The 22,866-nt window shown below is 43.3% G+C and overlaps 1 protein-coding gene across 13 annotated transcripts in view, besides 1 other annotated feature; it reads left to right on the forward strand.

Annotated features, from left to right (window-relative positions):
• Positions 1 to 19,839, forward strand: part of FTO (FTO alpha-ketoglutarate dependent dioxygenase) — a 417,979-nt gene extending 398,140 nt beyond the window's left edge. For 12 of the 13 annotated variants that reach the window (NR_156761.2, NM_001363905.2, NM_001363891.2 and 9 more), the window contains one exon: positions 9,660 to 12,365. Coding sequence is in view for 11 of the 13 variants with exons in the window: in NM_001363905.2 (NP_001350834.1) it covers positions 9,660 to 9,813 (154 nt within the window). In the remaining 2 variants the exon portion in view is untranslated. Of the gene's footprint in view, positions 1 to 9,659 lie in introns of all 13 variants that reach the window. The other variant, NM_001080432.3, reaches the window with a different exon arrangement.
• Positions 7,840 to 8,853: an enhancer, noted in NCBI's record as "VISTA enhancer hs52". NCBI's record gives its function as "enhancer in: dorsal root ganglion[3/5] | trigeminal V (ganglion, cranial)[3/5]" and the evidence as "EXISTENCE:transgenic organism evidence [ECO:0001131][PMID:17130149]".

The following is a 22,866-nucleotide window of genomic DNA, read 5'->3' on the forward strand; positions in this document are numbered from 1 at the left end:
TGCAGGTCATCTGTTTACTCTGTTGATAGTTTCTTTTGCTGTGCAGAAGCTCTTAAGTTTAATTAGATCCTACTTATCAACTTTTGCTTTTGAAACCCTGGAAGACAAACTAGGCAATAGCATCCTGGACATAGGAATGGACAGAAATTTCATGAAAAAGACACCAAAAGCAATCATAACAAGAGCAGGGGAGCTCTTAACCATGATTTACAGTGAGACACTCTGGTTCCATAGCCAGGATGATGGGAAACCTTTACCAAAACAAATCTCTTCTTGGAATCCCAAGTTGGAACTCTGAATGTTCTATCTCATGAAAAATAACAATCAGCTGGGCATTGTTTTGCGTGCCTGTAATCCCAGCTATGTAAGAGGCTGAGAAAGGAGGATCACTTGAGTCCAGGAATTCTAGACCAGTCTGGGCAACCTAGAGTGACCCCATCTCAAAACAAAACAAAAAGCCCTGATGTTCATGGCTATTTCACTTTATAGTATTATTAATATTATATTTCAGACAAACTGTAGGTCATGTAGGTGCTGAGGGAAAGAATTGGGAACTGTGAAAACCATTGTTTATATAGAAGCTGTCTTTTGAGTTCCAAACAAATGTGGAGAACGTAAGACATTGACAGCAGCTGGGTACCGCCTGCACTGTCTCCTTCTCCAAGGCAGCAGGATGGCATAGACCCACAGGAAGGACTCTCTAATTATGCTAATTGGCCAAGATCCAGGCAGCAGAGTTATCTATGCTAAATGGAAGAAAGATTTCTTGTCTGTGCATGGTGGCTTATGCTTGTAATCTTGACCCTTTGAGAGGCCAAGGCAGGAGGATCACTTGAGCCCAGGAGTTTGAGACCAACCTGTGCAACAAAGGGAGATGCTATCTCTACAAAAAACAAAAACAAAAATAGCCAGATGTGGTGATGCCTGCCTGTACTCCCACCTACTTGGGAGGCTGAGGATCACTGGAGCCCAGGAGTTGGAGGCTTCAGTGAGCTATGACTGTGCCACTGTGCTCCAGCCTGGGTGATGGAGTGAGACCCTGTGTCGAAAAAAGAAAGAAAGAAAGAGTTCTTGAAAAATGGATGGTATTTATGTGGCTGAATGGCGTTATGTTGGTATTCAAAAGCACTTCAGGTATATTTGGCAGTCAAAGGGTTTTTAAAGCACCTGAACAGCCTATCTTATATAGGACTTCTCACCTCTTCCCAGAAGCGTGAGGCCCAAAAGTAGATGTATATACAACTGGAAGTTAAGCCAAACCCGGCTTCTCAAGTGGTCATGGTTGAAGAACACTAACTACTAAAAAGGTGTATTGACCCGGGGGAAAAAAAGCTGACCCCTAGGGAGAAGTCTGGCTTTTCCTCACTCTCTGATGTGTGTTGACTTTACTGATCTGGAAACATTAACGTGGGGAACAGAGGCAAGAGGTTAAAAGCCTTTCAAAGAAAAAGTGAACGTGTCTTTTGTCAAAACTCATTTAGGAATTGGTTTGGTTTAGTGGTTCTACAATAGGTAAACTGAGTTATTTGACATGCTGACTTGATAAAGCCACCTTTGTCCGAGTAGACCGTTATGATAGCTGTAAGTATGACTGGGTGACTATTTACTTGTAAAGTTGTCCACAGTGTCATGATAGCAGTGACAAAAGTCCAAAAAGACACATTACAAATTCATTGACTTGTTCTTTTCAGAGGATTTAGAGTGTCAAGGGAAAGATTATTATAAACTAGACTGCAAATTTTTTTCACCACTCGCTATAACAGATTATTTGGAGCAAAATATGGTGAGACTATGAAAAACAGTGCAATGGAGTGTCCTCTTCCATGAGGTTAGATTTTAAATGTAGCGCTTAAGGTAGGCATCATGGAGGTGAGAATTATACATGGAAATCCCTTCAATTTGTACATCAGGTACTGGCAGGGATTTAGATACCATGTTAATATGAAAAATACTTATCTTTACACCCTGGAATCACTCTGTATGGCAAGACATTTGCCACACAAATACACATTAGAGTGAAATGAACCCTCAAGATACTGAATTGAACAGAGGACATTAGGGTCCCATATTGGTCTCACGCTCCCTTTAAAGCAAAAGGCCATTGAGAGGATTGTTGCCCTATGACATCATTATTTCCTGCTGATCTGGCAGGTGGGTTTTGCAGGTTCATGTGGACTTGATGTAACACCAATGTTTTCTACCTGAGGCCTCTTTTTTTTTTTTTTTTTGGGATGGAGTTTCACTCTGTCACCTAGGCTGGAGTGCAGCGGTTCGATCTCGGCTCGCTGCAATCTCTGCCTCCCGGGTTCAAGTGATTCTCCTGCCTCAGCCTTCTCAGTAGCTGGGATTATAGGCGTGCACCACCACACCTGGATAATTTTTATATTTTTAGTAGAGACAGGGTTTCACCACATTGGTCAGGCTGGTCTCGAACTCCTGACCTCGTGATCTGCCCACCTCAGCCTCCCAAAGTGCTGGGATTACAGGTGTGAACCACCTTGCCTGGCTCCTGAGGCCTCTTAAGCCTTGGTATTGGCTTATGCTATTGCACATTAGGAGAATGCATTATCATGTAGCTGATGCCCTCAAACAGACTCCTACTCAGCATTTGGCCAAGTGACTGTCAACTCCTTAAATTCAACTTCCAGAAAAAACACTGACTTAAAGAAGAGGAGACTTTTAAACACTGGGTATTTTCTGATGAAGCTGTCCATTTAAACTGCTCTAGTCTTTAGAAGTGTGATGTCTTTCGTTTTTATTTGCGAGCGTTACAAGCCCTTCTGGCCAGCGTTGCATGATCACTAGATTGATCAGCGAGGTTTTAAAAATAGGACTTGTATCACATAAGAAGAGGGATACTGAGGCATAATTATACATTTATATGGTAGTTTACATATTTTAGAGTGCTTTTATATGTGTTATTTGATTTTATCTTCACATAACCCGGTAAAGCAGAGAAGCATTAACTTCATTGTAATAGTTGAGGAAACTAAGAGATTGAGATATTTTTCTCAAGGTCACCCAGGGAATATATTAATAATTAGAGATAGTTTATGCCCTCAGAAGCTGAACATGTATCTTTTATTTCTATAGACTGTAGATACTTATGCTGTAAGGGCCTCACAGTCAAAAGAATGAAAAGAAGAAAACTAGGTTTTGTCAGTCATCTGACATAATAATAGTCCTTCTAGAAACTGGAGGTAAAAACAACATTTGCTTCTTTCCTCTGAAATGATTTGGAATGTCCTGCATATTTAAATTTGACAAGAATAGCTGACTAGTCAATGGACAGGATCCATTTTAGTCCAAATGGAAATCCATGAAAAAGATGGAACGGAGTGAAAAGGGCAGCCAGCCAGATGTCCAGGGGTCTGACCCGCCCTGGCTCACTTGCACACCGTTCCATCAAACCTTGAGTAAGGCAGCCCTCACTCAAACTGGGGATCCAAATACCTACCCCTGCCATCTCTCCTAGATTATTAGGAAAGTAAGAAGCAGTGCTGTGGATTGACATTATTCGGGACATTTAAACATTGTACAAAATGTAATTGTTATTTTAATTAGGAGTTGTTCTCCTCTTTCCCACTGAAGAATTCCCTCTTAGGAGTTCATTTCTGTTATCTCTTCAGTGGCCCATGCTTGGTAATATTTCTCCATCAAGTTCTAGTCTGTGTGTGTGTGTGTGTGTGTGTGTGTGTGTGTGTGTGTGTGTATGTTACATTTGCTTATTCTGATGAATCTTTCAGCAGAAACCATTTCTCCTGAAATCTTTATCATTTCATCAAGAGTAATGGAAATGTTACCTGTCCTTTATTTGTTGCAAAATTTAGGGACAAGGAAGAAGACCGTGTATGTTTTCTTAAAATCAATGGCCAGCACATTACTGTAAAACCTATTGATTAAAAACACAAAGTATAATGTTAGTCATTTAGTCTGTGAAGTGATGCAATAAGGGAAGAAATTTATCCTTTGACTTTTGCATTAACCTTTTATTGACTGCTTGCATACCCATAATTAACACACACTTTAGCTAAAGTGGTTAATTTTAGCATGGTGACCAGTGTTCACTAATGTAGCTGCAATCCCGATCTTCTAAATGTAAGTGCAGCCCTGGGGGAAATCAGCGGGCAGTGACGCCCTTCATGAGTTACACCTTGGTCAGGAGGACCTCTAGACAATCTGCTAGCAGCCAGCCAATGTGACACCTTTCGGCTGCTTCCTGTTACGTCACTAGGTCATTCAGGGAGAACCACTCCTAAGTAGCTGAGAGTTTTAGGAGGTGGTTTATAGAGTGCTTTGAGTCAAAATAATGTGAATTTAGGAAGGAGAGAGAGAAAAAGTATATATATAATATATATACTTTATATACACATATAATATGTAATATAGTATATATTGTATATAATTATATGTATTTATTATATAATTATTTTATATATTATATAATATTAGATATAATTATTCTATATATTTATTATATAATTATAATAATAGTTATATCATATAATTATATAATAAATATATAAATTTATAAATTACATATAATAGTTATATCATTATATATTATATAATAAATATATAAAATTATATAATTGTTACAATTGTATGTAATAGTTATATAATTATATATTAAATATATAAAATATATAATTGTATAATAATAAATACATATAATTGTATATTTTAATAAATATATAATTACATATTATATATACTTATTATATATAATTTATGTATATCATTATATATAATAATTATATATAATAATATAATAAATATATTATTGTATATAAATATATAATACACGATATATAATATATTAAAAGTATATGTACCTACTATATTATGTATATACTTTATCTCTCTTCCTCCTAAATTTGTATTATAAATTCACATTACATATTATATATTATACATAATATATAATAAAGTATATAGTATAAAATACGTATATATAAAATATTTGTATTTATTATATTTAAAATATTTATATATAAAATAATAGGTATACATATAAAGCATATGTTTACAATATTTTATGTGTATATACATATTATTTTCCTTTGCTCTCCTTGAACTGCTTCATGAAAGGGGCAGTATTTTCTGAACAGATCCAAGTTTATTTGCTAACCCAAGAAACATTTTAAAAAATGGGATTTTTCCTTAGGATAGGATTAGAGAGGACAGGATTGAAAGGGGAAACTGTAACTTTCTAATTGTTTAGCTGGGTTCAGTAGGACTTGGGAATGACACTGAGAAGGGAATCTTGTTAACTTTCTTTAGCAACATTATCCAGCCCTAGTCCTGAAAATTGGCTTATTTTCATGCAAAGGCCAGTGTGGATGGACCAGCATTCTCTTGTTTTCTGGGCAGAAATTTGTCCCAAATAGAAATACTATTTGAAACAAAACCAAATGTCAGTGTTTTCATGGGTTCATACCCAGGTATTCTCTGCACACACTACGCTGTATCAACCACAACATCTCAGTTTGGAGAGACTATCTGCATTCACTTGGCTAAGGCAATGGATGTTATAAAAGGCAGGAAATAACTGACAGCAAGGAAGCATGGCCGGCATATCAGCTAGGATTCTTTACAGAAAAACCTAACTCAGACAATAAAGTCTCATGAAACTGAAACATCTAAGTGAAGCATGACTCAGATACTCAAACAGCATCGTACAGGACCCACCCCTTGCTGGACGGCAGCAAAATGTTGATGGCAGTTCCACATCACACATCCTAATTGTTCATAGGCCAGGAGAGGAGAAAGTCTTTTCCTTTAGCTCCCATACCAGTCCTCTGATTTATTCTCTTGATTTTGCCCCATATTGGGTCATGTGCCTCCTCTTAAACCACTCCCTGTGGCTAGGACAGCGTGATGTACTGACGTAGCTTAAGCCAATCAAGGCTCTCCCCTGGCTGTAGAGGTGGAGCTAGTCCCACCCACATCAAGTCATGAAGCATGGGGAAGGGACAGGTACCCCACAGGAAAATTAGAATCCTGTTGGTGGAACGGTGGGAGTAAATACAGGACAACAAATTTCCATCACAGTCAGTATTCCTCACACATTTCGTAAGACAATTTGGGGCCCCTTTATTTTGCAAGAGACTATGTAGAGTATTGTGTGCTAAGAAACAATCCAACTTTATTTCCTGTAAATACAAAATCAGTCTGGAACAACCACCATTTGGAAGGCCAGACGACAATGCCTTTTATCAATCCTAGGTCTTCAGGAATAACTGCTGATCCCTTCTGAATCTGAACATTTTAGCCTGACACTGGAAAGTTGTAGCAGCTTGAATACATAAGCCTCAGGGTCTTGGAATGTCAAAATGTGATAGGATCCAGCCTTAGGTGCAATTTGATTCAAGCCAGACAGAGCTGCTCCTGTATCCCCAGAGCTTCCCCTAGAAGGAGTCTGTCTAGAGGCTACGCACCCAGTTAGTATGAAGGAAGGAGACTGCCCAAGTATAACAGGCAACTCTCTCATTGGCATTTCTCATCTGCCACTGGTACCTGGAGTAGAAGTAACGATAGTGGTAATATTATTTTATAGGTATTGGGCGCTTGCTATGTGCCAGGAAATGTTCTAAACACTGCGTATAATTCATGTAATCTTCACATCAACCCCATAAGTAAGATACTATTATTACCGTCACCACTTGACAGATAAGAAACTGAGGCTCAGCGAGGTAACAAAACCTGCCCAAGACGTCATGCCCCTGGAGAGCAGCAATTCCGGCAATCAAGAGAACACACTCTTTACCACCATGCTGCAGTCTCCCTGCTTCCCATCTTTGGAAATTAAGATCCAAGAAGGAAGAATGAGTGACCTGAGCAAAAGAAATGAAACCCTAAAGGGGGACAGATGTGCCTTCCAGTAATTCCCAACCTTCTCTTTATCAGTTCCATAGTCTGGCATGATTCTAAATCACAAAATATCATTTGAGTTGGGGATGTCTGTCCTTTTTCATGGGTGACTACATCACCTCCAATAACGAGCGCTCTGCTGGCCCCTATTACTATCATTTGGAAATTGGCAAGGAACACTGGACATTAAAGAAAAAACTTTAAAGTAATCTTGAAATTTCTGAATGAAGGCTCTGAAGAAACCCAACAAAGGGTTCTACTCCTGGCCCAGATGGATGCAGTGACTATGTGCAGCTTGTCTGTCAGAGCTTGCATGCAAAGGAGCCACTTCCCATACCAGCCAGTCTTTGTTTTTTTCTTCTTCTTCTTCTTTTGGAAAGAGTCTTGCTCTGTTGCCCAGGCTGGAGTGCAGTAGCACAATCTTGGCTCACTGCAACCTCCGCCTCCTGGGTCCAAGTGATTCTCGTGCCTCAGCCTCCCAAGTAGCTGGGATCACAGGCTGGCACTACCATGCCCAGCTAACTTTTGTGTTTTTTAGTAGAGACAGGGTTTCGCCACATTGCCCAGGCTGGTTTCTGACTCTTGGCCTCAAGTGATCTGCCTGCCTTGGCCTACCAGGGTGCAAGGGATTACAGGTGTGAGCCACCACGCCTGGCCCCAGCCAGTCCTTTGATGAGAAGAACAACAGCAGAAAACTGTGAAACAGCTTCGCCCAAAAGAAAAGCCATTGGGATTGGGAAGCTTGTACAACACAGCATAAGCAAACCTCTGCAGCAGGCTTCGATATGTTTCATACTTTCTCAAAGTACGGAGGCAAAACCCATTTGACAGGTGAAAAAGCATCTCTATTGACTTTCTACAAACTTTATGATATTCTAGGTGGATCGACACTTATCATAGCCCTTTAATCTGCCAGCCAGGATAATGTGTGCACGGACAATTTATCCACTGTGAGATTGAAATGCTCAATTTGGAATAACTTTCCCTACCCAGTAAATTGAGCATTACTCTAGGATTCTGAGACAGAGAGAAAGCACAATTTTAAAAGCTTTGCAGAGTTCCTTTGTAATTAGTCGCAGCTTTCCTTGAATATTAATTTTCCCTGCATCCCTTTCAAGTGGTTGAGAGACTGTCTCTACAACTACAGAGATGCACCCTCAGAACAACGACAGCAAGCGGCATGGTCTCAAACACCTATGATTAAGTAGTCTACAGAACGCACCCTCTGTTCTTCAGTGCAGTGTGTAGCTTATCAGTGCAAACAGTTTAATATTTATGCTAAGAGGATTGTCAAAAGCAGCTTCTGTTGCTTTAATTCTTGTTTTAAATAAATAATGAGAACATTTAAACACATTACTCTTCTTGGGGCCCCGGGGTCAGCTAATCTTATTATTTATGAAGTGATGTGCTACATAATAGTACTTAGTGCATGTTAACAGACGCTATTATCAGGGCCGGATGCAGAGAGCTGAAGATATATTAGAATGTTATGTGTAATGTACGACGGATTGAGTGCATAGGATGCCGGTGTAGCAATTAACCACACTCGAAAATAGGTGTAAAGTTGAAGTATGTTTTCCCCGGGGGGATCCCCTCACCATTAATAATTCCCCAGAGAAGAAGATGTCTTTCAGTTAGGAACCCTCTCTACCATCAGGCTTGGAAATGGGGCCAGGATATTCCATTCTTTGATCTCTTCATAGTCAGTCCTACACAGTCAGAAGACAAATAGTGAGCATGACCACTTTTTAATTGATTTAGACAAAAATGGAGAGAAGGCGGGGGTGGAGGGAGGCACATGTGCAATGCTCCCAAGTGTCCTCATAGTGTTTGGTTTTGATCCACTCGTTTTCACTGCCACGTACTCCAGGAGAGTCGAGAAATTGTTCATTCCTTAATGCAATCTGTTTCCTTCTCTCTGATCCTCATTTTGCAGATAAATAAAGCTAAAGCCACTGAGTTTTCCCAGGTCACTTTTTAAATAAGCCAGTCTCTCTGAGAGATAGATGCCTGCCAAGGTGTAAGAACGTTGCCCCAATTTTTTTCCTGTGAGGCTATAATTTAGCTTCATATGATAATTAATTTCTCTACTATTGATGAATAATCCATTCAATAAAAACCGTGATTTAAGTGTTTTCCTTAGGGACTAACTCTTGCTGGCCTCTTAATTTAATTTTGTGCAAGTTTTTCCCACCTCTTCATCAGTGGAAATGATTATTAACCTCTATTTGCATATATCCTTATAAATCGGTCTCTCCTTGGAGTGCCTTTTTCTGAGCACAGCAAGCTGGGACACTTGTAAATCTCCAGGATCTCCAAAGTCAATCCCGGCCTGTAATATTGTTTAATCTATTCTTGGACGTTTTAATGCAGTAAATTCAATTTAATCTTTCCCAGTAATCTAGTAATACATTGAAATCCCACAAACATTTAAATCTGATAATGGCTTAATCACACACTTTAAATAACAGTTGAGATAATGAAAAAATAATTCACCATTTTAAAGGCAGAGTAACTGAATTTCCCTGATGATTGGCTTCTACGAAGCCACCTGAGATAATACAAATCTGGGAGTCAAAGCAAAGGAAGTCCCAACACCATCAGAAACAGTCTTCCTTCTTATAAACACCTGCGTTCCACCTGTAGATTCATTCAGTCGTCACCATGACCTTCACCCCCGAGGACTGTCTTTGGAGCATTGGCCAGTGTTGCTCCAAGCTTCCTGTGGGTTGGGGTCTTCTGGGGGTTTCCTCCCGTGGATTAATTTCCTATTTTTACTCTTCCAGGTGCCAGTCACGAATTGCCCGAACATTACCTGCTGATCAGAAGCCAGAATGTCGGCCATACTGGGAAAAGGATGATGCTTCGATGCCTCTGCCGTTTGACCTCACAGACATCGTTTCAGAACTCAGAGGTCAGCTTCTGGAAGCAAAACCCTAGAAGGAGCACAAGTCTCAGGCGGAGGAGAAAAAGAGATCGGCTTTTCTCCTCCAACGTTGTCATGGGCTTAAGCAAGAGCAGTGGAGACTTCTCTTGGCCCCTAGATTGTAGCACCCGGGTCCCAATCCAAAACAGCTAGGAAATGGTGCCCATGAAGTTTTAAATGTTTTAAAATGACCCTGTGTTATAGTCTGATTTGGTGTTAAACAGGACCTTCTTCCCCCAAAATTGTTCAGATTATAAAATGTGAGCCATTCAGCCCCCAAGGTCCAGGGCAGGCGACAGGAACGAGCCCAGCGTGTGACAAAGCCTAACCTACTTTCCTCTTTCCCAAGCTTTTTCAGAGACTCTGGAGTGGACCCAGCCCTCTGGGGAAAGACAGAACTTAGAGACATCCCAGTTACTCACCACACCCATAGTGCTGTCCAATATGGTAGCCACTAGCTAGCTGTGGCTACTTCAATTTAAATTCAGTTTTAATTTTAATTAAAAATGCAGCTCTTCAGTCGCCCTGGCCACATTTCAAGTGCTTAACAGCCTCATGTGGCTAGTGACTGCTGTATTGGACGGTACAGATATGGAACATTTTCATCATCGAAGAAAGTCCTATTGGACAACACTTCTATAAAAAGTTTGAGAGCAGGAATTCTCATTTCCATTCGTCTGTAGCTTCTATCCCCAAAGGCAAAGAAACTAAAAGAGAAATGACTCATTGAAGATTGGCCTCTTTCCTTTCTCTAAGACAAACCTAAGTAAAAGCCTGAGCTTTGAGTCCTATGCTCAGCACACGGGAAGGAGATGTTAATAATTAAAATAAAGTTGATATCCTGTCTTTAGGGAGTTCCCTTGATCTCTTGAAAGAGACACAGCCCCATTTACATTATTTCGTGGATTTCACCAGCATAGTATAGTTTTTTTCTGTAAGTCCCTCATTCTTATGTAATAACAGGTGGAACTGAGGTTTGAAGAACCTCAGTGGCCCATCCTGATGACATTGGAGACTCAAAGAGACAAGAGAGAGTAGGGTTTAAAACCTGAGCTTTAAGACTCCCACTAGCTTCGTGTCCTTTGGCATGTTAACGTGCCTCAGTTTCCTCATCTGTATAATGGGGATATATGAAAGGCACCAGTCCTAAGGTGAACATTAAGTGAGATGATTCTAGTTACAGACTTAGAACAATTTCCAGCACATAGTTAAATATCCAGGAAATTCTGGTACTGTTATGTGTGGGTGAGCTGACCTGGATGTAGATGTTTTCCTCTCTCTTGCTGACCCCTCCGCCAGTTTTGTCTTGTGATGCCATTAACACATCTCTCCCTTTCTGACCTGGCTCCTGCCCATTGGTGTCCCAAGAAATCGTGAGAATAGTTAGCCCCCCGTCTCCCCAGCCTGTTGCTTTCTCGTGTAGTTGTTCACAGTAGTTGAGAAGTTGAAGAGCTTTTGCCTATTGAAGGTGCACTGAGAATAAACTCTTTCCTGCCACCAGAATTGCAGTGGTTCACGGCCTGCACTCATTCCCATGAATGCAGTTAATAGCCACAGAAATGTCACATTAAGCAAAGCAGCCAGGGTCTCATCGTGTTGAGACTCGAGTCTCTCAGACCTTGGATTCATTCCCTGGTGTCTTTGAGCCTCAGTTTCCTCATTGGTAAAAGAGAAGTGAAGCAGTGTCTCACAGGGTCATTACAGAGATTAAATGAAATAAATGAAATAACATAGACCAGGAGGGCGTGGTGTTTAAAAGTCACAGATGGGGCACCCTCGGGCCATCCAGCCCAGTGTTTTCTTTAGCCCCTATGATGTTCATTTTTTGTTATATCCCATTAGGTGCCCATATTTAAAAATTGGGAGATTTCACATAAAATTAAAAGGTCTGCATTTTCTTTTTTCTTTTCTTTTTTTTTTTTTTTGAGACACAGTCTCACTCTGTCACCAGGCTAGAGTGCAGTGGCACGATCTCAGCTCACTGCAACCTCTGCCTCCCAGGTTCAAGTAATTCTCCTGCCTCAGCCTCCCAAGTAGCTGGGACTACAGGCACGTGCCACCACGCCCAGCTAATTTTTGTATTTTTAGCAGAGATGGGGTTTCACCACATTGGCCAGGATGGTCTCGATCTCAACCTCGTGATCCACCCACCTCGGTCTCCCAAAGCGCTGGGATTACAGGCGTGAGCCACCGCGCCAAGCCAAGGTCTGCATTTTTCTTTAGAACTCAGAACACCCAATAGTCCTAGGCCCCCATCCTCGCATGGCAGCAAGCTAAATAAGCATCTTCCCACTGCGAGTTGGGGCATGACCCAGCCTATGGTTTGCCATACTCCCTCTTTTTCTCCGTTTTTTCATTAATTGTGAACCTGACCTGCATCACCCTTTCATGTCAGTGCTCTCCAAACCTGCTTGCTTGCACCCCTCTAGTCGAAATATTTTGTGCTTACCCCAATATATGTGTGTGACTATTGAACTCTATTCGTAGACTGCTTGTACTAATGTCATTTGCATCATAAAATATTCATATCCAATAAACATATTAAAAGGATGAGATAAGAAACCGAGAGATTTTGCTGTTTTTTTCCTTTTGCATGGATGAGCCAGCTTCACTGTCCTGGGTGGGGCCCAGGTGGAATTAGTTCTCAAAGTCCTCCAGGTGGAGTCAGGGAATGTGCAACAGGGTTGGAGAAATCACTACTTTAAGTGAATCCGAAAGGTGAGATCACATTTGCTCTAAAGAAATGGTGATCCCAGCACTTTGGGAGGCTGAGGCAGCAGATCACTGGAGGTCAGGAGTTCGAGACCAGCCTGGCCAACACGGTGAAACCCCGTCTCTACTGAAAACACAAAAATTAGCTGGGTGTGGTGGTGTGTGCCTGTAATCCCAGCTACTCGGGAGGCTGAGGCAGGCAAATCGCTTGGCCCGGGAGGCGGAGGTTGCAGTGAGCCGAGATCATGCCACTGCACTCCAGCCTGGGCCACGGAGCGAGAGAAGAAAGAAATGGTGACTTTCATTGATCATGTGTTTGAGGATTTCATGTGCTCTCCAGGGAGGTTTCAGGTGGGTAGAAGGAGGTGGGCAAGACCCAATAAAAAAGCAGCTGGTGCGGGCAATGACAATGAACTCGTATCCTGCAGGGTCAAAGGAAGGCTTGCTTCTGCTGTGAATTGGAGAAGGACTTTCCTGGAAGCACAGGCCCAGAAATCGCACCCTTCTCCCCATGTGTGCGGATAAGGGACCACTTCCATCAGCAGCAGCCCCCTCCTGCTTTCCTGCCAGTCCTCCCTGTGGTCCCAGGTCTCTTGAGAAAAGTGATCTAAGAGATCCCTTTGCAATGAGGTGCTACTGACTGCCCTACCTCCCTCCCTTCCTCCCATGAATGTTTCTTGGTGCTGACCACAGCCTCAGCAATGAGGCAAGCCTGGGGACCCAAGACAGATCTCTGCCTCCCAGGCTAGTGGATGCCCTGGGATATGTAGTCACCAAAATAGGAACTTACCCCATAGTGGGGAAATAGACAGTAAGCAGCAAATCAATAACAAGAGTGTTCCAGATGGTTGTAAGTGCCAGGAAGGGAACCAACTGGGAGAGGGACAAGAGGAGATGGTGACTGACCAAGGGGACCTTGATCAGGCTGTGGGGAAGGGAGGTGGTTGGGAAGAGCTTCCCAGGAAAGGGGACGGCGGGCCCAGGCAGGAGAGCCTTGGGAGGGGGTGCCCAAGGAAGGAAAAGGGCCCTGAGCCTGAAGCCGAGAAGACCAGGAGGGGAGAAGGGGAGATGTAGGGCAGAGCAGACGGGAGCCGCTCGGGTTTTATTCCACACACCCCAGGAAGCATGAGAGGGTTTCAAGCAGCAAGGGCATGGAAGTAACTTGGTGAGATATTTTTATGCATTAGATCATCGCTCTATCTGGATTCCAGAGGGTCTCTGAGAGAGCAAACAGCTTAATCCAAAGGAGCGGCTTTCCAACTGGGAATGTCCCCCTGGCTGGGTGAGATCTCAAGATGGCCTGCGGCCCCTCTAGATTGCCTGCCTACAGAGTTCACTCTAAACAGCCCCTCCCCTCCACACCCCAGCAGATCCATTCCTGACGCCCTCACTGGCAGGCTCCAGCCCCACAGAGCTTTCTAGACATAAAAGAGCAGGGTCATGGCATCATTGGTGACACAATTTTAGTAATAAGCTTCAAAACCCATCACTCCACTGAATCCAGGGATGCCAGAATTGAGAGTCCATAGGACCCGTTTAACGGATCCCACATTCAGTAGACGGTTTTTTGTATGCTTCGAGGGAAGGAAGGTATTTTCAAATGCAACTTCTTTTTTTTTTTTCTTGCTCTAGTTAGGGCTGATTTTACCACTGGGCAAATTGCATACATTTGGATCCATGCCACGCTAAAAACTGTTTATTTTGGAGATCTGTCAGAGGCAAGCACATGGAAGACAAGGGGATTCTGGTTTGAAAAGGCAATTCTCATCCAGACAGATTCAGATGGAGAGGAGCGGTGTGGATTAAAATGCGCCGAAGTGGTAATGCCGTTTATCCCGTTTGCCTTTGTTACTCTGTGATTAAATGGTATTTTTAATTAAGTTTCATTGGGAGCCATAGGTATCGCGGTGGTGAAATCAATTTGACAACCATAAAGGGGAGAGACGGCACAGGCGTGTTGTGATGATTGCGGCTGTAGGGAAAGCCGGGCAGCTTGCAGAGGATGGGTGGGAGGAGGGGAAGCCGGCTAAGAATGACTTCCTGCAAGACAGCAAGGGCACCCCTGGGCCACTGCTGTGTTTGGGAGGCAGGTTTTGGGGGTTGTCAGAAGGCATTCACCTGGTTCTCTCGCTCACCTGAGACACCCGATAGATTCCTGGAAACTCCAGGAAAGTATCTGAAGATCTGGTTCTCCATTCTCTCTTATTAACAAGGAGAACCACAAGTGCCCCCCAGATCCCGGCTAGAAGGACCAGACAGCTTTCCACCCCGGTTCCCAGGCAGCCCTGCTCCCATAGTCCTGTGTCCCATCGGCCCCATGCTCCCAGGACAGTCCTAATTCCCACCTCTCAGAACCTTGTCAGCCAAGTTCTTCCTGCTCTCTGGCCCAAATCCTCCTCCTACATTGGAAACTGAGCCTCTCTGCATCCTCTGCTCTTTCTATCCCGCTGTCATTCATCAGATTTTCCAAATCTTTGGATTCCTGAGTGGCAGAAGAGGTTTTCTGAGTTTAAGTTCTGATTCTGTGTGTGATTCTCACTCTACCACCTCTTCAAACCTTTGTTGTCTTATCTACAAAATAGAATAGTAGTAATCCATCACCTAAGGTTGTTGTGAAGGTTCAATAAGTTAATGCGTATTTAAAATGCCTCCCACAGTACCTGACATATACTGGGCTTCAGTGAGGTACTAGCTATTATTATTAACCAAGTTTCCTGTGGTAACAGTTGTAGCTTTGTGACTGGGCCAAATCACTTAACCCCTCTGCGCTCCAGTCTTTGTTTCTATAATGGGGATGATGATAATGCCTAGCTCATTGGATTGTTCTGTCCCCTACGATCAGCCATGTTAAGTGATTCATATCATGTCTGGTACTTAAAAATCACGCCACGCATGTACATTATTATGATGAAAAATATGATCCGTGATATCCTGACCAAAATATTAAAGGGACTAAAGATAGCTGTGGCTTGTTCAAGAAGAATATTGTGTCACTATCCCATATATTATCCCATTTGCTCTTCACAGCTTCCATTTTTCGCTAGGCGGATGGCATGGAACTTTTTATAAATGAGATATTATGAAAAATGATGTTTTAGGACTCTCATTTCTACAGTGGGAGTAGGTCACCCATTGCAATTTTGGATTTGCTTAAAAAAATTCTTGCCATCACCTTCTAATGGATGATCTGTGTACAACAATTGTTTATTGACTCTGAATGTCTAAGTACCAGGGTCAGTCTATTTCAAGGGGAGGGAAGCATTAATTAACCTCCAGCATTAGATTCAGTGATTCTTTTCCAATGATGCAGTTCATGACTTTGCTCGCATTTACTTTTCATCAATCCTGAAAGAATTGAGGTAAAATAGTTCCTCTGCACATGTGTGTCAAGCTAAATGGATAACAGCAGATACAGATCTGTTTGCCTGTCTGCACTTGCCTTTAGACAAAATTCATCAATTTTACAAAAGCCACTGACTAAACATGGCACCAATACAAATGAAGCACTTCTAGCAGGCGGAGATTCCCTTTGTTTCTGATCTGGTAAATGCGGTAGTTTCCTGCTGAGAGATGGGAAGTGCTGGCCTAGGACAGCAAGGTGCCCTACAGGTGGGGCCAAAAGGGTCAAGACCGTTCTACAGGAAGTTTAGGAGAAGTTCAATGGTTCCAGATCCTGTGTGCTTCGGGTAATTCTGACCCTCTTCATTAGTGATAATGGCATGAAGCTCTTTCACACAGTCTTTTTTTTTTTTCTTTTTTTTTTTCAGACAGGGTCTCACCCTGTCACGTAGGCTGGAGTGCAGTGGTGAGATCACGGCTCACTGCAGCCTCGACTTCATGGGCTCAAGCGATTCTCCTGCCTCAGCCTCCTAAGTAGTCGGGATCATAGGCACTTGCCACCACATCCGGCTAATTTTTTTGTAGAGACAGGATTTCACCACATTACACAGGCTGGTTTCAAACTCCGAGGCTCAAGTGATCTGCCTGCATCGGCCTCCCAAAGCGCTGAGATTACAAGCGTGAGCCACTACGCCTTGCCCTCCACACAGCCTTGCTTGGTGTTAAAGATTAAACAAAGACCACAGGTGATCACTGTCTTCGTGGTGCCAGTTTCAAGGGCACCCTTCTTCCCTTCCCAGCCTCCGAGAGAAGGAGAGAGGGTCCACAAGCCAGATCCATCCCCATCCACACAGGTAAAACCACGACTGTGCAGCTAGCAGGTGGAGATAACATTTGGAAAAAGGCTTTGTAAATGCTAAAGTCCTACTCAAGTCCAAGGGAGAGAAATTATTATTATTCGTTTTGTGAAACCAATTTAGTTTGGCTGGGTAATGGAAGAATTTCTACATACATTCATTACTTCTGATCAGGCAAGACCAGTCTGACACAGGAACAGTCTATGGCTCACTCTTAAAGCCACAGCAGGCTGCCAGGGCTTGGAGAAATAGAAACCTCTCTTGCACAAGAATAGTCTCAATGAATCATGTTAAGGCCTCTTTAGGTTTTTCAGACTCCATGCACCCTGTGGAAACTGCCTTTCTTGAGTAGAGGTACGTTCAGCACTTCATAAAATAATCTTGGAGCCTCCAGACACACGGATGGAGGAGCATGATTTCATTTGTTTCTTTGCAAAACTGCTGTCCCCAACTGAAAAACCTGATTATCCTTTCAAATAGGGAATTCGGCTTTCCACGTTGGAACCAGAACAGTTAACCTTCAAACCCCCAAGGCTTGCAAGAGATGAATCAGTTTCTCAGACAGCCAAAGCCGTGGCTTATAACTCATCCAACCCAGAAAACTGGACCGCTGGTCACCTTCCTTCCCCCTGCCCCCAACTCTGCAGACAGAGGTTTCCCGTTGATTATGCCTTGATTAGAGTCAGGAGAGAAGCAAACCAGGTATATAGGATTCCATTATCCTTCCCTCCTCTGCTCCCAACCAGGGTCACGCTGAGAGGGATCTCGGTGAACATGTGAACAATCAAGCCATGTTTACCATGGACGTTTAGTTTTCTTTTCTCAAAATCAAAACAGAGTTTAGTAGGCAGCGTATTTCATACATGCCCCTTGATCAATGGAATGATCTGTCAGAAGCCATTAAAGCCCCCATTAGCTTGAATGCATTCAAAGCTAAACTATTGGATCATTTAAGGGCTGCAGTGATTGTTTTTAATATACCGTACATTGATTTCTCCCTGTGAGCAGCAACATAAGTTTGAAACTAACTGTGTATGACTAAGGCTCCATTTGCTGTCTCCAACCCTCTGTGAGAAGCATGGTTTCACTTCGACCAGAAATGTCTGTGTATAGTTTTCAAAGAGATGCAGACCCTGTTCGATTTCCCAAGATTTAGACTGGGTCGGGTTGTTATTTCTTTTTTCCCTGAGCTTTCTCCCATTTCTTTGTGCCCATTAAGTGAGCTGTGCGTGCAGAATGGGAGAGGCATCCCTGCCAAGGACTTCAAGTGAAAGGCGGTGGGAGAAATTGTTCTGAAAGCATGAAGCCCAGCTGAGGCCAAAATCAAAGTGAATTTGACAGCCTTGGGCCAGCAAAACTCTGTACCCAGCAGAAAACAATAGATGTGTGGCTGTGTCAGGGGCATCCTCACTGGGACATAGCTTGGGGAGCTGAAGGTACCTTGGAAGGGCCAGATGAGGAAGCTAGCCAAGGCCACAGGCCTTCCTTTGACTGCCATATTGCCAGCTCTTCATAGTATTGACTCTTCAGTCTTAGCCAACACACACTTGTTGATTCCTTCCGGAATGTCAGACTCTGCTAGCAACACAAGGTCCCTGTCCTCAAAATCCTATTCTTAATCAGCATTTCTAATTTCTGCCCTTTGCTCATTTTAATACAGAGCCTGAGGATAGGAGAGCAGCGTGGTGAAAGAAGCAATAGTTACCACATTTGCAAAGGCACATACCCCAAAGAGAAGTTTTTAATATGTCACACCCATATTTTATAGATGGGGCAATGGAAGTCCAGATGGGAGAAGTTATTTCAGGTGAATTATAGAAACTGGATTTCAAGTTTCTGATAAGTATTGAATTTGGGAAGGCTGTGAACATTCTTGAGCCCCCCTCCCAAGTTCACCTTCAACATCCTAAAGCAGGTTGAAGAGGAAGATGGTTCCAGGTCACTTACAAGAACAGGAACAGCCCCTCCCTCCAAATTTGAGCCCAGAAAGGAGAACCTTTGTTACTCTAGAAAACAGTGTGTGTGCTATTGTTTTCTCCATAGGTCACAAACATCCACAAGATATTGGTGATTTTACATATTATTAGAGCCACTGAAATTTATGATGCAGGATATTAACGTCAAAGAGGCCAAGATGCATCATTCAGAACACTGGCAGGTCAAGCAGAAACCACCGTAGTAAAATTGAAAGCTGGAGTCAGCAAAGTATAGCCCACAGCCAAATCTGGCCCATCCCCTGTTCTTATAAAGTTTTATTGGAACGCAGCCATGCTCATCGGTTTATGTATTATCTATGGCTGTTTCCAACTACAGTGGCAGAGCTGAATAGTTGCAAAGGACCATAGGGCTATCAAAGCCCCAAATAGTCATTGTCTGACCCTTCATAGAAAAATTTTGCTGAACTGTAGTCTAGCTCCAAGGATTGTTGTATCACCTGTGATCGTGCCTATTAAGCAATTAACGTCATGTCTAGTACTTAGTAATGACTCAGCATGTATCAATTACGATGATAAATATTATCATGGCATCCAAACCAAAATACTCATGCCAACATCTCTCTGTACAGAAACATGGAAAAAGAGCGATGCTATTAAGGAGGAAAATGGAGCCAGGAGCAAAACCTAAGGCTATTTCTGAACTAAAGAGGCCTGAATAAGGTAGTGAAAGGACCAGGGAAAGCCTTCCCACGGGGATGGAGAGCCACCTCCTCCCCGGCTTTCTGGTTCAGATGTCTTGTCTCAACAGACGGCAGATTCGCAGGGAAGCAGGCCGAGCCTGATCTTTTCTCCGCTAGAACTGCTCAACAGGTGAAGAATCTTTTTCCAGCACTCCTGAGCCCTTCGGGTCGCGGAACAGTGCGAAGATTATTCCAATGCCTCATTCGGAGAGGTGATAATCTGGTCTGTGGTTTCTTTTTCGGTGGGGCATGGGGTGGGGGTGAGTGTCATGCTTTCTAAGGCACAGGGCTGACTAAAGGGTGTCCTATTTATAAGTCAGTAAAACACAGCGGCTTCATACTCTGTGCTTATTACCCAGAAGCCCCGGCTCTTAGAGTTTCTATTAAGATGTACCTCATAAATATATACGCCTCCTATGTACCCACAAAAATTAAAAATAAAAAAATTGAAATCACTCATTTATGCTTGGTGTTATGATTGTAACTAAGAATCCTGGAGTGAGCTGGTTACAAAGTGAGCCCGACTTTCCATGGATGCACCATCCTAGAGTGCACCGTGAGCCCGGCTTTCCGCTGATGCACAGTCCCAGGGTGCGCCGGGAGCCCCGCCGTCCATGGAGGCACTGTCCCAGGGTGTGCCGTCGCCCTGAGCCCCGCCGTCCATGGAGGCACTGTCCCAGGGTGTGCCGTCGCCCTGAGCCCCGCCGTCCATGGAGGCACTGTCCCAGGGTGTGCCGTCGCCCTGAGCCCCGCCGTCCATGGAGGCACTGTCCCACGGTGCGCTCCTCCTTAGAGGTCTCTGCACTCTGCCTTTGCTGCCCACACTCTCCAGGAGCACCTTAGTTGGATCTTTACTTCCTTACTGCCTCTCTTGCCACGCGAATCCTTGAGTCACTTATAAGACACTCCACGTTGATCATTTTCATTTGTCCTGTTTCCAGAGTGTTTATGAACACAATTTTACTTGCCAAATCTGGTTTCCATGTTGGACTAGAGGAACTAGAGGGCAGGACTTGCTGGATCAAATTTTTACTTCCATTTTATGACATCCCACAGGACTCATAAGACTTCATGTCCCCCAGATTATTTGATCTTCAACAGCTGTCAATCCAGCTAACTTTTATCTGACACATAATAGGTGCTCAATAAACATTTGTTAGCTGACTATCTGCTAAAGCAAAATTGATCTGATCTCAGCATCCCCTGCTTTAAAATCTCCTCTAGTTCCCCCTTCTCTTTGGGTTCTGACCACAGCTTGCAAGGCTGTTTGAAATCTACCCCCGCCTCTTACAATTTCACCTCCCAAAACTTGCTTCTAACCTTTGTTCCAGCTACACCCAATTTTGTACCACATCCTGAGTTGTTTCTTGTCACTGGTGCTGTATAAGGTGAGTTGACCATGATCCTAGTGGAACCTTAGCAGCAGGTAAGAGGAGAAAGCTGATAATGGGCGAAGCTGGGGGGAATTTGGTCAGCGAAGTTAGTGTCTCAAAGCAACACTTAATTGGGGAGGTACTGATATGATAGACAGGTGTCTGAGCTGGTGCTTGGGGCAGGGCAGCCAGTGGGATCTGCAGAAGGTCTTGGTGCTGTCTTGATTAAAGGGGTACGAGGAAGCACTCCAAACAAGGCACTGCAAGGCCACAATGTGGGGACAGGGCCCAGGCCAGCCCCAGAGAGCAAAATCACAAAAGACAAACTGCTTTGGCCAATGGAGTTGAGGGAACGCTGGAAGAGCTTGGTGGACATGGACTTGGGGCACTGGACTGACGTCAGATCCCCCTGTGCTACTAAGATAGTGGTGTCACTTCATAAACTTTTTTTTTTTTAGACAGAATCTCACTCTGTCGCCCAGGCTGGAGTGCAGCGACACCATCTCGGCTCACTGCAACCTTCGCCTCCTGAGCTCAAGCAGTTCTCCTGCCTCAGCCTCCCGAGTAGCTGGGATTACAGGCGCCCACCATGCCCGGCTAATTTTTTGTATTTTTAATAGAGACAGGGTTTCACCATGTTGGCCAGGCTGGTCTTGAACTCCCAACCTCAAGTGCTCCACCCACCTTGGCCTCCCAAACTGCTGGGATTACAGGCATGAGCCACCGCGCCTGGCCCCATCGTAAACATTTAACTCACGAATTCAGTTATCTGTGCTCAGCAAACATGCACAAAAAGGCAAAAAAGCATAAGGGTTCCATCCCCAAACTGCACTCAGGGATTGCACAGCCTAGAGTGTGGGAAGATGTGAGAACAGAGAATCTGTTTTCTCATTTGGGAAGCTACTACATGGCTTCTAACCCAAGCCAGAGACTTCACGTCGTGCTCAACTGAAGAACAAGGATGTTTTCCTGTGCCTGATGAAGAACTATCCAGACAATTCACTGAAGAGGATAAACAGGTGGCAAATAAGCACATAAAAAGATTATCAACACCCTTAGCCATTAGGGAAATGCAAGTTAAAACCACAATGAGAAATTACCACACACTTCTGAGAATGGCTATCATTTTTCTCTATTGAGAATGCAGAGATGCTGGATCACTCACACATCGCAGGGGGAGAATGTCAAATGATATCACCACTTCGAGAAAATCATCTGGCAATTTCTTCTAAAACTAAACATGCACTTACCATTTGACCCAGCAACTGTACTCTTAGGCATTTGTCCCAAATAAATGAAACCTGTATCCATGCAAGACCTGTACATGAATGTTCATAGCAGCTTTCATAAGAGCCCCAAACTGTAAACAACCCAAATGTCCTTCAGTGAGTCATTAGTTAAATTTTGATACATCCATATCCTGAAATACTAGTCGGCAATAAAAAAGGATAAACTATTAGATGGATAATAGAGAAAAAGATCCAGACTCAAACAGGTATATGCTGTATAATTCCATTTACATAACCTTCTTGAAATAACAAAAACATGGAGCTGGAGAACAGAATCCTGGGTGCCAAGGCTTAGGGAAAGGAGGGAGGGAGTGGGCGTGGCTATAAAGAAGCAGCAGCACAGGCCCCTTGTGATGAAACAGTTTTGTATCTTGATTGTAGCAGTGGTTGCATGAATCTACATATAGGATAAAGTCATATAGAATTGTGCATGTGTGCACACATGCACACACACATATATGCCATGTGTGTAAAACTAGTGAAATCTGAATCAGCTCTATGGATGGTCCCAATGTCAGTTTCCTGGTTTGGATATTACATTATAGTTATAGAAGATGTTACTGTCTGGGGAAACTGGGTGAGGGATACAGGGGACTTCCCTATATGTATATTTTTTGCAACTTCCTGTGAATCTATAATTATTCCAAAGTAAAAAGCTAAACAATGAAACTGGCCAGGAGACAGCCTGCTGGCTTCCAACCTGGCAGCTCCCTAGGGGATTCTCATGAGTAGTTTCCACTGTACATAACTTCATGCATGGACCCCTCATAAGATGGGACTCCTCTTTTGAAGCACAAGTGCGTATCCACGCTTTGTTCAA

The sequence above is a fragment of the Homo sapiens genome, chromosome 16 (assembly GCF_000001405.40).
Source record: "Homo sapiens chromosome 16, GRCh38.p14 Primary Assembly".
Lineage (NCBI taxonomy): Eukaryota > Metazoa > Chordata > Mammalia > Primates > Hominidae > Homo > Homo sapiens.